The sequence below is a fragment of the Homo sapiens genome, chromosome 15 (genome assembly GCF_000001405.40).
Source record: "Homo sapiens chromosome 15, GRCh38.p14 Primary Assembly".
NCBI lineage: Eukaryota > Metazoa > Chordata > Mammalia > Primates > Hominidae > Homo > Homo sapiens.
In genome coordinates, this window is record NC_000015.10 from 73,877,867 (window position 1) to 73,892,384 (window position 14,518).

The 14,518-nt window shown below is 51.0% G+C and overlaps 1 protein-coding gene across 10 annotated transcripts in view, besides 2 other annotated features; it reads left to right on the top strand.

Moving 5' to 3' along the window:
* Positions 1–14,518, top strand: part of TBC1D21 (TBC1 domain family member 21) — a 36,461-nt gene that overhangs the window by 4,303 nt on the left and 17,640 nt on the right. For 3 of the 10 annotated variants that reach the window (XM_011521281.4, XM_011521283.3, XM_011521282.3), the window contains exons 2-10: positions 3,533–3,640; positions 3,778–3,881; positions 6,285–6,379; positions 6,915–7,025; positions 7,137–7,237; positions 8,212–8,308; positions 8,646–8,746; positions 9,754–9,870; positions 10,564–10,647. In XM_011521281.4, coding sequence (XP_011519583.1) covers positions 3,533–3,640; positions 3,778–3,881; positions 6,285–6,379; positions 6,915–7,025; positions 7,137–7,237; positions 8,212–8,308; positions 8,646–8,746; positions 9,754–9,870; positions 10,564–10,647 — 918 coding nt within the window. Of the gene's footprint in view, positions 1–3,532; positions 3,641–3,777; positions 3,882–6,284; positions 6,380–6,914; positions 7,026–7,136; positions 7,238–8,211; positions 8,309–8,645; positions 8,747–9,753; positions 9,871–10,563; positions 10,648–10,917; positions 11,349–14,518 lie in introns of those variants that run through there. The other 7 variants (NM_153356.3, XM_006720409.5, NM_001286434.2 and 4 more) reach the window with 7 other exon arrangements.
* Positions 3,488–4,049: an enhancer, noted in NCBI's record as "H3K4me1 hESC enhancer chr15:74173695-74174256 (GRCh37/hg19 assembly coordinates)". NCBI's record gives its function as "activates a minimal SCP1, AML or CMV promoter by ChIP-STARR-seq in naive H9 embryonic stem cells {active_cell/tissue: H9 hESC(naive)}" and the evidence as "EXISTENCE:reporter gene assay evidence [ECO:0000049][PMID:30033119]".
* Positions 9,247–9,505: a silencer, noted in NCBI's record as "fragment chr15:74179454-74179712 (GRCh37/hg19 assembly coordinates)". NCBI's record gives its function as "represses an EF-1alpha promoter that drives an FKBP-Casp9 reporter gene in an ReSE screen in HepG2 liver carcinoma cells {active_cell/tissue: HepG2}" and the evidence as "EXISTENCE:reporter gene assay evidence [ECO:0000049][PMID:32094911]".

Genomic DNA, 14,518 nt, shown 5'->3' on the forward strand with positions numbered 1-14,518 from the left:
CATTCCTAATTAAAAACTCTCAGCATGCTAGAACTGGAAGGGACTGTCTTCAACCTGATAAAAGGCATCTGTAGAAAGCCTAGAGTTCACATCATACTGAACTGTGAAAGCCTGAATGCTGCTCCTCTAAGATGAGGAACAAAGCAAGAATGTCTTCTCTCACCACGTTTATTCAACATTGCACTTGAGTTCTAGCCAGTGCAGTAAAACAAGAAAAAATAAATAAAAGGTATTCATACTTGAAAGGAAGAAGTTAAACTGCCTTTACTCACAGATGAACATGCTCATCTATGTCAGAGTTGGCAAATTTTTTCTGCAAAGGTCACAATAGAATTTTTGGCTTTATGTCCACGCAGTCTCTGTTGCAACTACTCAACTCTGCCATCATAGCATGAAAACAGCCACAGACAAAAATGAGTGGGTGTGGCTGTATCCTAATAAAACTTTATTTAGAAAAACAGATTGGAGGCCACATTTGATCCATGGATCATAATTTGCTGACCCCTGGTCTATGTCAAAAATCCCATGGAATCCACAAGAAAGCCACTACGACTACTAAGTGAGTTTTACTAGGTTGCAGGAATACAAGATTGATATATAGAAGTACATTGTATTTCTATTAGAAATTTAAATTTTAAAATGATACTTTTTACAGTAGCATCTGAAATATGAAATACTTATGGATAAACTTGACAAAATATATGAATGACCTAGACACTGAAAACTACAAGACACTGCTGAGAGAAATTTTAAAAGACCTACATAAACAGAGAAATATATTGTGTTCACAGGTCAGAGGACTCAATAATGTCATCAATTCTCCCAAACTGGCTTACAGATTCAATACAGTCTCCACCAAAATCACAGCTGCCTTTATTATAGAAATGGACAAATTGACTAAAATCCTTATGGAAATGCATTTCTAAAGTTAAAGCATTTCCTTTTATAGTTAAGGATCCCGGGACACAGCCCAGCTTTGCCTGTTCCCTTCTGCTTCCTGCCACATTGCATGCTGAGTGTTGCAGTTTCTGAATGAGTGTAGGTTGGGAGAACATGATGACAATCAGAGGGGCAGAAAGCTTGCTCTGATGAGTGGCAGTGTCTATGCAGGTGGGGAACACATCAGGGCAGACCCTGCTTCCCAGGGTTAGGCCCACACCGAGATTTGTAACTTCTTGGCCCATGTGTCCTATTTTGGTTCAGATGACAGGGCATACATGAGTTATTAAAAATGTGTTTCTCAATCCATTTCCATCAAATATACAGTTAGTAGAAATTATCCCAATTTGGAGCCTGTAGGCTCTTATTTTTAGTTAACAATGCTGCTTTGCCTTCATTTATTTATTTATCTATTTATTTGAGAAGGAGCCTTGCTCTGTCACCCAGGCTGGAGTGCAGTGCCATGATCTTGGCTCACTGCAATCTCCGCCTCCCAGGTTCAAGCGATTCTTCTGCTTCAGCCTCCTGAGTAGCTGGGATTACAGGCACCCCGCCACCACACCCAGCTAATTTTTGTTTTTTGTTTTTTTTTAGTAGATATGGGGTTTTATCATGTTGGCCAGGCTGGTCTCGAACTCCTGACCTCAAGTGATCTGCCAGCTTGGGCCTTCCAAAGTGCTGGGATTACAGGCGTGAGCCACCATGCCTGGCCTGTTTTGCCTTCTAATACTTTACTACTCATGTGGTTTGTGGACTAGCAGCATCACCTGTTACTCAGGAGCTTGTTAGAAATGCATCATCTTGGGCCCCACCCCAAACCCTCTGAATCAACTCTGCACCTGCAGAAGATCCTTAAGTGATTTGTACGCCAATTTAATTTTGAGTCACATATTCAGATGTATACTAATGGGAAGTTGGGAGTGTGTATATTTACATGTCTACTCAGCTCTGTCCATCAGCACATCTTTATGTCTGCAATGTGGCATTTCAAGATATTCTTCTCTCCAGCAGAAGAGAGTATCCCAGGAAGAAAGGAATCTTCTCTTATTCCAACAGGAACCCTCACTCCTGTTGTTGTTGTTGTTGTTGTTGTTGTTGTTAGAGATATTATTATTATTATGTGCTCTGTTGCCCAGGCTGGAGTGCAGTGGTGAGATCTCGGCTGACTGCAACCTCTGCCTACCGGGTTCACGTAGTTCTCCTGCCTCAGCCTCCAGAGTAGCTGGGATTACCGGCATGCGCCACCATGCCTAGCTAATTTTTGTATTTTTAGTAGAGACAGGGTTTCACCATGTTGCCCCAGGCTGGTCTCGAACTGACCTCAAGTGATCCACCTGCCTTGGCCTCCCAAAGTGCTGGGATTACAAGCATGAGCCACTGCACCTGACCCTAGTTATTATTTTATAAGCATTTTGAATTACTTTGCATGCAGTGCACTCACCTCTCTCCAACACATACACACACACATGTTCACATACACATAGCACACAGATATATACCACACACACACACACACACACACACCCTTATCAAAAGCAGAGACTATCTCTCATAATGAACCATTCTACATTTCCAGGAAAGGTAAAGTGGAGCTCATAACTGTGTCTAATTAATGCTTATTTTATATTTTCCTGTGATCAAAGCAGTGTACATTATTATAGAAAATTTTAAAAATACAAGAAAGGCCAGGTGCGGTGACTAACGCCTGTAGTCCCAGCACTTTGGGAGGCTGAGGCAGGTGGATCACCTGAGGCCAAGAGATCAAGACCATCCTGGCCGACATGGTGAAACCCCCTCTCTACTAAAAATACAAAAATTAGTTGGGTGTGGTGGCGCGTGCCTATAGTCCCAGCTACTCAGGAAGCTGAAGCAGGAGAATCGCTTGAACCTGGGAGGCAGAGGTTGCAGTGAGCCGAGATCCACCACTGCACTCCAGCCTGGCGACAGAGTGAGACTCCGTCTCGAAAAATAAAAAATACAAGAAAAAGGATAAAAAGTACTTATTTCCTATCACTCAGAGATAATCACTGCTGTTTTTAGTGGGGGAGAGGAACTTTTTTGTATTTTCTCAGTCTTTTTCTAACAACTTTATAGTAGTCAATGCATTATATATTAGAGTTTATGTGGGGTATTATTATAATATATAACGGACACAATACATAGGTATTACTATGAGGGCCATAGTTGTACTATATAGTACATAGAGAAAATGCTAGATATACAATTCTGTATTCTGCTTTTTTCTGTTAACATTTGTATTTTTTCTGATTATTATTCATTCCTTGTAAACAACACTTATATGCCTCAAAATATTCCATTAAGCACATAAACCACAGTTTACTTAACTACCCCCTTATTGCAGAACATTTAGAGTGCTTGCATTTTTCATGTTGGTGAGTAATGTGCATGAAAATTATTGTGCATACAGGATTTTTTCTATATATTTTCAGTAATGTCCTCAAGATAGATTTCCGAAGTAAGTCAGGCTGTGCGCTTTGATACATATTGCAAAGTCCAGAACATATTATTTAAAATCACACTTAAAAGCCGAAGCCTTCTAACATAAGGCAGAACTGGTTGCTGCTTTTGCCAGGTGAAGAGAAAACCACCCATTGACAAGACAGAATGGGACAGCTTCTTTGATGAGAGTGGCCACTTGGCCAAATCACGGGACTTCATTTGTGTTAACATCCTGGAAAGGGTGGGTCCCCAAGCTACCCTTGGCCTTGCCCTGGAACTGGGAGCATGGATGGGCAGGGGGCAGGTGTGGCGTTGGATGAAGCCCTTTTGGTAGGCATCGATAGAGCCCATGACCTCCACCTCCCACCCCCACCCCAGGGTCTGCACCCCTTCGTGAGGACTGAAGCCTGGAAATTCCTCACGGGCTACTTCTCATGGCAGAGTTCCCAGGATGAGCGGCTCACGGTGGACAGCATGAGGAGGTAGAACACTCCAGACCCTGCTGGGACAGGAGGGGGGCCTGCAGGTGGCAGGTGCTGCCTCCCCAGCCTGCAGACTATCTTCTGCCCCCATGCAACTTCTTATTCCGAGAGGAACCCCATGCCTCCTGACCCAGGCACAGCACACAGGAGGTGCGGCCAGTTCGTGCCAGTGCCTTCTCTCCCTGAGCTCCATTTACCAGCCCATCAACTGCCAGGCATGGGCTTGGTCCCAGCCACTCCTCTTACCCCTGGGCCCCAAGTCCCATCCTTCCTTATGGCCTATGCATTCTTCCTCTGAAGCAGCCCTTGAACAGAGTCTGCCACCCTCTTCCCTGGGTGCCACCCCAACTCCACCTCCTCCCTGCCCCCCATGGCTGAGCTGCCTCCCGGGTCTAGTCTCCCCACTCCCTGCCTGTGCCCACTGTTTCCTCCCGGTGCCCAGGGGAAGGTACAAAACCCAGTATGGGCTGCCTGTGTCCTTAGATGAAACACTCCCAGTGGTGTAACTGGTAACGTTTCAAATAGCACATCTTCTCTTCCAAAAACTTCCTGATCCTAGCTCCACATCGCCCACTATCCCAGAGCCTGACATTCCAACCACACTGACAGCCTCACTGACTCCTCATCTGCCCACTCCTGCCCCAGCACAGACCACGTTTGCACTCCCCTCTGTCCTTGGTTCACCCTTTCTCCTCCCTCCACAATGGCTTTCTATCATCTGCCTATCAGTAGCCCACCCTTCCTTCAAGGCCCAGATCCCACAGTATACCTACTCCAAGCAGCCCTCCCAGATCTCCCAAGGGAGCCAGGGATGAGGCACTTTGTTTCAGTAGATAACACACCATCTTTGAACTTGGACCGTCTTGGATTTGGAAACCGGGTTCAAATTTCAGCACTCTGATTTACACCCTGGGTAAACTTGCCCATGAACTTCAGTGCTGAAGTCTCAGTCTCCTCCTCTATAAAATGCAGGTAACAATCTATTTCACAGAGTGGTTGTGGGGGCTCAATCAGATAATACAGGTAAGGCACCTTGCACAGGGGAGGAATCAGTAGCTTTTATGATTTTGATGGGAATCCTCCCTCCCTGAAGCCGGAGGCCCTTGACTTGCACTTCCATGACCCTGGGCACTTGGTCCCACAGTAGTGAGAACGGAGCCTGTGTCTTCCCTCCCAGGTTGAATGCAAACAAGGGCAGAGGCTGCAGCCAGTTTGCCTTTGTCTTGGGCCCTCTCCTGACCTTGCCTGTCCATGGGAGGGCTCCGTACACACTGGCTGAGTCAGACTGACTCCACTGCTGAAAATCTTCCCATCAGAGGAACGGACTCCTTTGGATTGTGGCTGCATGACTATGTAGCCTGGGCTGGACTCACCTGTCTGGGAGCCTGAAGCAGGGGCTAGGCCCAGCCCCAAGGGAGCATCCAGACAGAATGTGGAAAAGATTCACGTGTCGGGGCCAGCCAGAGTGACCCGGGGTGGGACGGGGGTGTGAGGGCTGGGCTAGGGAGCTCAGAGAGGTTCAGGAGCTCTGACAAGAGCCCACCTGTGTTCATTTCCTGAGGCTGCCTTAGCAAGTACCACAAACTGGGTGGCTTCCGACAACAGAAACCTGTCTTCTCGCAGTTCTGGAGCCAGAAGCCCAAAATCAAGGTGTTGGCTCCTTCCAAAGGCTCTAGGGTAGAACCCTTCCTTACCTCCCAGCTTGTGTGGCTCCCGGTGTTCCTCAGCTGGTGGCTGCCTCACTCCATTCCCTGTCCCCATGGTGGTGAGACCTTCTGCTTTCTGTGTGTTATAAGAACACATGTCATTGGATTTGGGGTCCACCTGGAAAGTCTTACGGATCTCGTCCGGAGATCCTTGACTTAGTCACATCTACAAAGACTCTTTTCCCCCACATGGTTACATTCACAGGTCCTAGGGGTTAGGACATGGATATGTCTTTTTGGAGGCCACCATGCGGCCAGCAATACCAACTAATCATATTCTAATAATGAGGACAAAACACCGCCTCACTCAGCACTTCCAATTCTGAGGCACAGGTGCCAGTATTATGCCCATTCTACAGATGGGGAAACTGAGGCTTAGAGATGGAAAGTCGTGTCCCCAAGACTTGCCCCCAGTGGCAGACACCCCGTTATTAAGATGTAGAGCCAGGATTCAGGTGCAGCGTTTGGAGTACAGAGCCCAAGAAGTTAAACTGTCTCTGTTCTGCAGTCCAGGTGCATGTTGGAGGACAGTTAGGGTGGCACAGGTTGAGATGAGGGACAGCATCACAGGTAGGGTGCATGGCTGGGTGAGGGTGCTGCCCTGGATCTGCCTGGGGCCTGGTAGCTGCAGCTGCTCATTCACCACTTATCAGAAGGGGAAAAGCCACCTTGTTCAGCCTCAGTTCTGTTCTCACAGGAAGAACTACAAGGCCTTATGCCAAATGTATGAGAAGATTCAGCCCCTTCTGGAAAACCTGCACCGGAACTTCACAGAGACTCGCAATAACATTGGTGAGCAAAGTGGGGTGGAGAGGGCTGGGCAGAGGGAGGGCTTGAAGCCAACCCTGCCCCCTTCTCAGCCACTTCCAGGGAGGGATGGCTCCAGGATCCTGGGAGTTGCTTTGACTTGTGCCTGGAGTTTCGCCAGCTGAACCTTGGTTAATCCACCCCACCAGTCTCTCCTGGGTGGCCCTAGATGCCCCATACCATGTTTTCCTGGGTGCATGATGTTCCTGCTGCCTGGTCTTCCTCTCTCCTTTCTTTGGCTTTGAATGAGGTTGGATTTGAACTGGACAGAGAGGAAGGGTGGGGGAGGACATTCCTGGCCGAGGGTACGGCCTCGTTAGAGGGTTGGAGGTGGGAAGAAACACAGACAGCTCAAGGTGTGGTGAGGAACTGAGCCTGGCAGGGGCTGATGTACCTTTCACAGCTCCCTCTCCCTCCAGGATGTCCTAGGGCCTGCCCATTGGGGTAGGGGAAGAAATTCACCCATAGACCTGCTGGATGTGATCTGGTGCCACCTACTTGCCCCTTGCTTCCAACCTAGCACGTGACATTCAGAAAATCTATGACAAAGATCCCCTGGGCAACGTCCTCATCGACAAGAAGAGGCTAGAGAAGATCCTGCTCCTGAGTTACGTCTGCAACACGCAGGCAGGTGAGCCTCAGCCTCCCCTTGTCAATGCCCTCCCAGGACCTGGCCCAACCTAAGCCAAGGGTCCAGGCTCTCCCACCCAGCCCCTCCTCCCCAACCCCCTCTTCGCCACAGAGTACCAGCAGGGCTTCCATGAGATGATGATGCTCTTCCAGCTGATGGTGGAGCACGACCACGAGACCTTCTGGCTTTTCCAGTTCTTCCTGCAGAAAACGGTGAGGGCAAGGCCTGAGCTCAGGGACGCCCCTCCCCAACCCCCCACTACTCCCCAAACAACTCTTTGAGGATGGGCAGGCATTGGCCACCCCAGCCATTCCTTCCAGGCTTCTGGGTCTCAGAGGAGCCTGGGAGGGTGACGCTAAACCCAGTGGTTCAAAGTAGTGGTGGTGGGGAGGCACTGAAGTGGAGAAGGGGGATGGAGCAAAGCTCTGGGTCCACCTCTCAACAAACCTTGAAAGAGCATGGCTGGCCAGGCCCAGGGAAGGTGCCCTCTCCTGGCATTTTCTTCCCCAAGCACGGTTCTCCTCCCTCCTCGCTGCTTCTTCCTCAATGGCTCCCTGTGGCCTCCAGAATAAAATCCAATAACCTTAGCCAGTCATTCAGGGCTGTTCCCTTCACATAACCTGAATTCCAGGCACACCAGGGGACTCAATAGTCCCCAGGGGCTCCCTCACTGTCCAAGTTGAGGGGTTTTGAAGGTGCAGCTCCCTGGAACACCTCCCTGGAAAGCCTTTCCTCATGATCTGCGAGAGGCTGCCCAGAACCCTCCCTCATCCCTCCCTCCACCCCACCATCCCTGCACATGTGCTTGCTGCCCTTCCCTTGTCCCAGTTGGCTCTGCCCCAACACTATTGTGTGAGGGAAGAACTGGGCAACTGGGCTCACTAGACTGTGAGCCACAGTTGAGAATCTCTACTACACACACATACACACACACACACACACACACACACTACACAGCCACCCAGAGGCGTACAACATATACAGACAAACTTGCATACACAGATCACAGTCACATAGATATGTATGCACACACTCACACACACACACTCAGACTCATAGAGACATGGGCCCAGCGCACAGACAGACACACAGAGCCTCCAGAAGTGAAGCTGGGGGAAGCAGAGTTGACTCTTCCGGTGCCTTGAAGCCAAGGGGGACTCAGTCTGTCTCCCACCATCGTGTGCAGGAACACAGCTGTGTCATCAACATTGGCGTGGCCAAGAACCTAGACATGCTCAGCACCCTGATCACCTTCCTGGACCCCGTGTTTGCTGAGCACCTAAGTGAGTGGTTCCCACCTCCTGCCACCTCACGCACCCCCCAGGCATGGGAAGGGGGCTGGGACCCAACTGTCAGTCCCTAATCATGGGGGGGCTGGAGAGCAGCAGAATCATTTGATTGCTTCTCCAGGCCCTGGGAAGAGGGTTATCTGGATGGGGTTGGAGCCTGGACAGTTGAAAGTTGACTCTAAACCATCTCCCAGGGCAGCTGGAAAAGGGGCGGCAGGCTTTTTGTATTTCCCAAGTGTTTTGCAGGCTCTGTAGTTTGGCCTCATCTGCATGTGTTTGCTGCATCATATGTGTTTTCCCCTGACCACAGCCTCACCTTCTCTCCCCACAGAAGGGAAGGGTGCAGGGGCTGTGCAGTCCCTCTTCCCCTGGTTCTGCTTCTGCTTCCAGCGTGCCTTCAAGTCCTTCGATGATGTCTGGAGGCTCTGGGAGGTGAGGTGTCCAGCTAGGGATCATCAGGCTGGGCTCCACCCATCAGGCAGAGTGGAAGCTGCAAGTCTTCCTTGCCTCCCCCTTTCTTCCTGGCTTGGATGGAGTTCAGTATCTCGGGGTTTTGTTAGGTCAGCAACCCTGCTCCCACCTTGCTGGAGGAAGCTGGAGCATCACTTTGTCCATATGTTCATTTAACACAAAGGCCCCACTGACTGTGCCTTCTGCTAGCAGTTGACACAGGAGGGCCCTATGGCCTGTGCAGTGGGAGCCTGGGCCTGCAGCTCCACTTCCCCGCTGCCCTGCCCAGGTGGCCTCCCCACGCTTTCACTTCCCCAGCTGTCCCCCCAACCCTGGCCTTCCCCTTCCCCAGAGTGCTGCTCCTGTGGAACTCTCTCACAGAAGGTGGGTCCCTAAGGACACCTGTAGTCCTGTGACCACAATCCTCAGGGCCATCAGCAGATGAACCCTCTGAGGAATGCCACCCCCACCCATCAATGCCCTGCCCATGGCCACCGCTGCCTGCAGTGTCCAGCCCAACCATCCACCTGGCATGTAGGGCCCCACAGATCTATTCCCACCTGCCTCTTGGCTGGCTGGTCTCCATGCCCAAGTCCATGACCACACCCAGGCCTTTGGTGACATCCTTGGGTCATTTAATTCCCATCAACCCTTGCTTGCCAAAACCCCACTCAAATTCGACAGTTTCCTAGTGTCTTCCCACCCCTCATTGCCTCCCTCCCCTTCCTCTATCTAATGAATTCCCTGAAGCCTCTATCTCTGAAACCCCCAGGAGACAGCACAATGCCTAGAACCAGGAGTACCTGTGAGCACATGCCTGAGTGAGTGGATGAGTGAGTGAGTGAATGAAGGAATGATTGAATGAGCAAGTCAGCAGCAAGGCCCAGGAATGGCTGACTCCAGGCACGTGGTTGGTGGGTACCTCACCATCCTCAGGGCATCTGCAGTCTCAGACCACAGGGCCCAGACTGAGACGTCCTGACCCACAGGTTCTGCTGACGGGGAAGCCCTGCAGGAACTTCCAGGTGCTGGTGGCCTACAGCATGCTGCAGATGGTGCGGGAGCAGGTGCTGCAGGAAAGCATGGGCGGGGATGACATCCTCCTGGTGAGAGCACCCTCGGGCAAGCTACCACCCCTGCTCCTGGAGGCCCTGACACCCCACCCCACCCCAGCTGAAAGACCGGGGTTCATGGGGTGCTGGGCACCAGTGCCACCTTTTCCCCCCAGACAGAAAGGGCAATGAGATCTAAGGTACGGATTACCGTGCCAAGGGCTTTTAATAGAGCTTGTTTAAGCCTCACCACAAGCTTGACACAGGGAGGCTATAACCATCATCATCACCCCTAGTTAACACATGAGGAAATGGAGGCCTTGAACACTCCCTAACTATTAAGCTCTACCATCTCGCAGTTAACCCTGTGGCCCTAGGATATTGCTGAAACAGAAGGACCTAGAGTTTTCCACCATTTTAAAAAAGCTACTGAAGTCTTTGTTGGAAGAAACAAATCTTAGGTGACACCCTAATTATAAACCAAGTCCTCCTTCAAAGCCCCTAAGACACTTGGTGGAGCCCCAGGACTCCTAGAGCCTAACATGAAAGCTAACATTTACCATTGCCCCAAAATATCAAATTTTAGGCATTGAGCCAAGCAGGCTGGGGAGAGGTCAGGTGGTCCCCAGCGACTGCTGTGAGCAGCATCCTTCTTCCCTGGGTGCTGCAGGCAGCTGCATGTGCCCAAGAGTGCTGGGAGATGTTTGCCCCAGCCCCACCCACAACTGCTCCCACACTCCCATGCAGGCCTGCAACAACCTCATCGACCTTGATGCTGATGAGCTGATCTCTGCCGCCTGCGTGGTTTATGCTGAGCTCATCCAGAAGGATGTAAGTTGCCCCAATGATGTGTCCTCCTCCTCCTCTTCCTCCTCCTCCTCTTCCTCCTCCTCCTCCTCTTCCTCCTCCTCCTCCTCCTCCTCTTCTTCCTCCTCCTCCTCTTCTTCCTCCTCCTCTTCTTCTTCCTCCTCCTCTTCTTCCTCCTCCTCTTCCTCCTCCTCCTCTTCCTCCTCGTACTCCTCCTCTTCTTCCTTCTCCTCCTCCTCTTCTTCCTCCTCCTCCTCCTCCTCATCAGAGCCTATCCTGATCTCCCAAACGCAGCCCATGGCAGGTGCATTCAACTTCAGAGACACAGACTGTGCCACGTTCTCTACCACTGACCCATGCATGTTGCTCCTCATGGTCTTCTCGTTGTTTGCACATGTAGCTCCTTCCTCCCTGAGCAGGCTGTACTACTTGAGAGCAGGGCCCTCATCCCCCATTCCCTGTGTCCATCCCAGTGGGTCTGGGCACCCAGAGGCTCAGGAGAATGTCGCTGCTTAGAAGAACCGAAGAATGAAAGGGACAGACCAATGTCTGTGCACCTCCCACCTGCCTCCTCCCTAGGTTCCTCAGACATTAAAGGATTTCTTCCTCTGAGGACACCAAAGCCCGCAGTGGACTGATGCCTTCGATGGGCAGGATGAAGGCCAGGGGCACTGGAGTGAGGGAGTAGATAAAACAGCTGCAATATAAACAGTCCTCTGGAATAATGGTTTGTGGTGGATGCTATGTCTTTGACCTTAGGGGCTGGGACGCACATGAGGGCTGAGACAGGGTCGTACGATAGGAAGAGAGGCTGGCTGGCTGAGAGACACATTCTGAGACTAGGGAGGGTGCTTGCTGGAAGAGACTGGGTCAGTGGCTCCTCCTTGATGGAGGGTTTTCCAAGGCTGCGGTGGATCCATATCTGGATACAAATGGTTAGAGTAGAACCAGCTCTGAAAGGCTTCCAGACCCCTGTGGAGGACAAAACTGAGCACATTTAATAAGGATTAGTTCATCTGGACTTAGGTCCTGAGAGGAAGGCTGGTCCTGGGGCTCTGCCCCCACCCCCACTGCTCCCCTGAGTCCTGTCACATCAATCACACAATTAAGTCATTTTTTCCAGAGATTTCCTGCTAGTCTGTGGAAGGGGCTGGCCTGGAAGAACTATCTGATGAGCAGGCAATTCCCTTCCTGGTTTCAAAGCCTCCCTCATAATTGTGCCTTCATTTATCAGCCTGCAAATGTGTCCTCAAGCTACATTTTATTTTCCAGTCTTGATCAATCTTTCTTGAGAATGCACTCTTTGCCCTTGGCCAGGCAGTCAGTTGCTCTGTGAGGAAAAGGTGCATCACACCTGCTCCCCCAGGCTGTGCCACAGCCCTGAGCCCCTGTCCAGCCTGCCCCATGCTCTAGCTGGCCCCTCTGAGGGAAGACATGTAGATGGGCCAGAAAGGCTGAAACTGCAGAAGGGTTGGGGCTGGCTGGGTGCCCCCAGAGCTGCTCAGCAACACACATACATACACACATACACACACACACGAATGCACACACATACACACTGCCCTGCCCAGTGACTACAAGTTTTCAGGAGGGCTGACATTACACATGGGCAGGAGGGATCCCTTGCTTTTGCTGTGAACTGGTCCTTAGAGGTAAGGCATGGCCATCCCTCTCACTCTTCAGCCAACTGTCCCTCCCTCTGCTCCCATCCTGGCACTCTTAGTGACCATCACTCCAAAGCCATTATGTCCCCAATGAGTGCTTGGTCTCCTTCCCCTCAGGCGACAGTCTCCCATCCAGGACCAGCTCTGAGTCTCTTAGCTGCTGTATCTTTGCTGGAAGGTTGAGGGGGAATGCTGAAGAATGAGGGCCTGTCCCCCCAGCAACACCTTCTCTGCATGGCTAAAGAGCTCATGTTTGCTGGGCAGGGAGGCACATGGGTCAATTCATATACTACACTTCTCCTTTGCTTTTATGTTCCTAAGGCAGTTTATTTAAATAAGTGTTCCCGCATGAAAGACAGTTCTCCAAGGATGAAACTGTGTTTGCATTTTGCCAGAGAGGCAGAGAACAAGAGTAAAAGACATCTTGCTGAGCTAGTTTTGGCCTTGGGAAGAGAACAATCAATAGAAACATCAGATGAACATTTTCTAATGCTTCTTTTAGACTGGTGACTTCAGATGGCCGATTATTTTTGGTTGGGACCTACACACAATGCCAAACATCTATTTCAAAACAAACATTTAAGAACTCATCTTCTAGACCACTTGCTGTCAAATCTGTTGTTAAAAGCACTGGAGCCCCTTTATTACACAGTCCTTCCCAGGAGCCCAGCGGATGAAGTTTGGGTGCAGATCCCAGAGCCCTCTCCCCCGACCACCCCTCTCAAGCCCCCCTCCTTGAACCTCACATCATTTCCTGTGTTATCTGCAAGGAGCCTCTTGTCTACTAGGGTGCATATTTGAAAACCTGTTAGGTCTTAAGGACGAGGTGGATTCAATCTTGACACCAAATTGATCCAGATTCAGATAAATCCCAGGTGATGGAGTGATGAAAGTAACAATCTTGGAAGAGTGGAGCTTCTCTCAGCTCATCTGCAGTACTCCCAGCCCAGCAGACTGTAGATTAGGATCTTCCCACCATGCTGCTATGCAGGTCCTTAAAAATAACACTGGGCTGTATAATTCATTCATTTATTCCCCCTTCTCTGGCTCACTTAGTTTATCATTTATACAGCCCAGTGTTGTTTTTCTCTAGTAGGGTCCATTCTGGAGATAGAACTACAGGAAGCATTGAAATCCTAGAGCCTAAGTTTGTGTTATGACAGTCTAGTTTATTTCAGCATGCATTTATTCAGTACTGTCTTAGACCATTTGGACTGCTCTAATGATGGCAGTGGCAGCCCATCTGGAGCAGCCACTGCCATGATGCCAGCTGCAGTGGGGGAGGCGCAGTGAGGGCTGCATGCTCCATGGAGCCAGTGGGAGCCAGAAACAGGCAGGAGCCCCGCCCCCTTCCAAGTTGGAGGGGTGGGAGCCCCACCCTCCCTGGCACAGCTGCAGCCACCCTGCCATGGCTGTGGACCCAGGCATCTCTGCACTCTTGGGGGCCCTTGAAACCCCCATGCCCTCACAGGCTCAGAACTGCCTGCTCCCACTGCCTGGCCTCTCCCCACTCCTGGTGCCCACTCTGATTTCGGAGCAAAGCTGTGGCTGAGACCAGGTGCTGTCACAACCCGGCCAGGTGTGCTCACACCTGGGGCAGCACTTACACACCAGCCCCATGCCTTCTTGGCCCCCCTCTGGACTTTGGGCACCGACAAGCATGGAAGAGAGGCTGAGGGGGTGGGTGCTAAGGATGGCTCGGCATGGGCCTTCAGGCACCCCTCATCATGAACAGCCTGGGCACCGTGGATGGCAGGTTAATGACAGCAGGAGGCAGGCAGATCCTGGGTGGAAAGGGGCAGATCCTGGTGAACCCCACCTTCAGGCCAGGGACAGTCTGAGGACTAGGGGCCAGGCTGCCAGTTCCACAGACTGGAGTGACAACCTATGGGGCTTTTTCTGGGTCTGCCCATGGCCACCCATGGACAAATCAGCATGCACTTCCTCCCCTCTGAAGCCCATAAAAATCCCCAGACTCAGCCAGCCTCAGGCAGACTACCGGATGACCTGTCTGTGGAGAGGAGCTACTCAGGGCGGGTCTCCTCCGAGCTGTTCTGTTGCTCAATAAAGCAACTCTTTGCCTTGCTCACCCTCCACTTGTCCACATACCTCATTCTTCCTGGATGTGGGACAAAACTTGAGACCCACCGAATGGCAGGGTTGAAAGAGCTATAACACAAAGAGGGCTGAAACCCACCCCTTGCTTGCCATGTTGCAGGTGACAGGAAGGA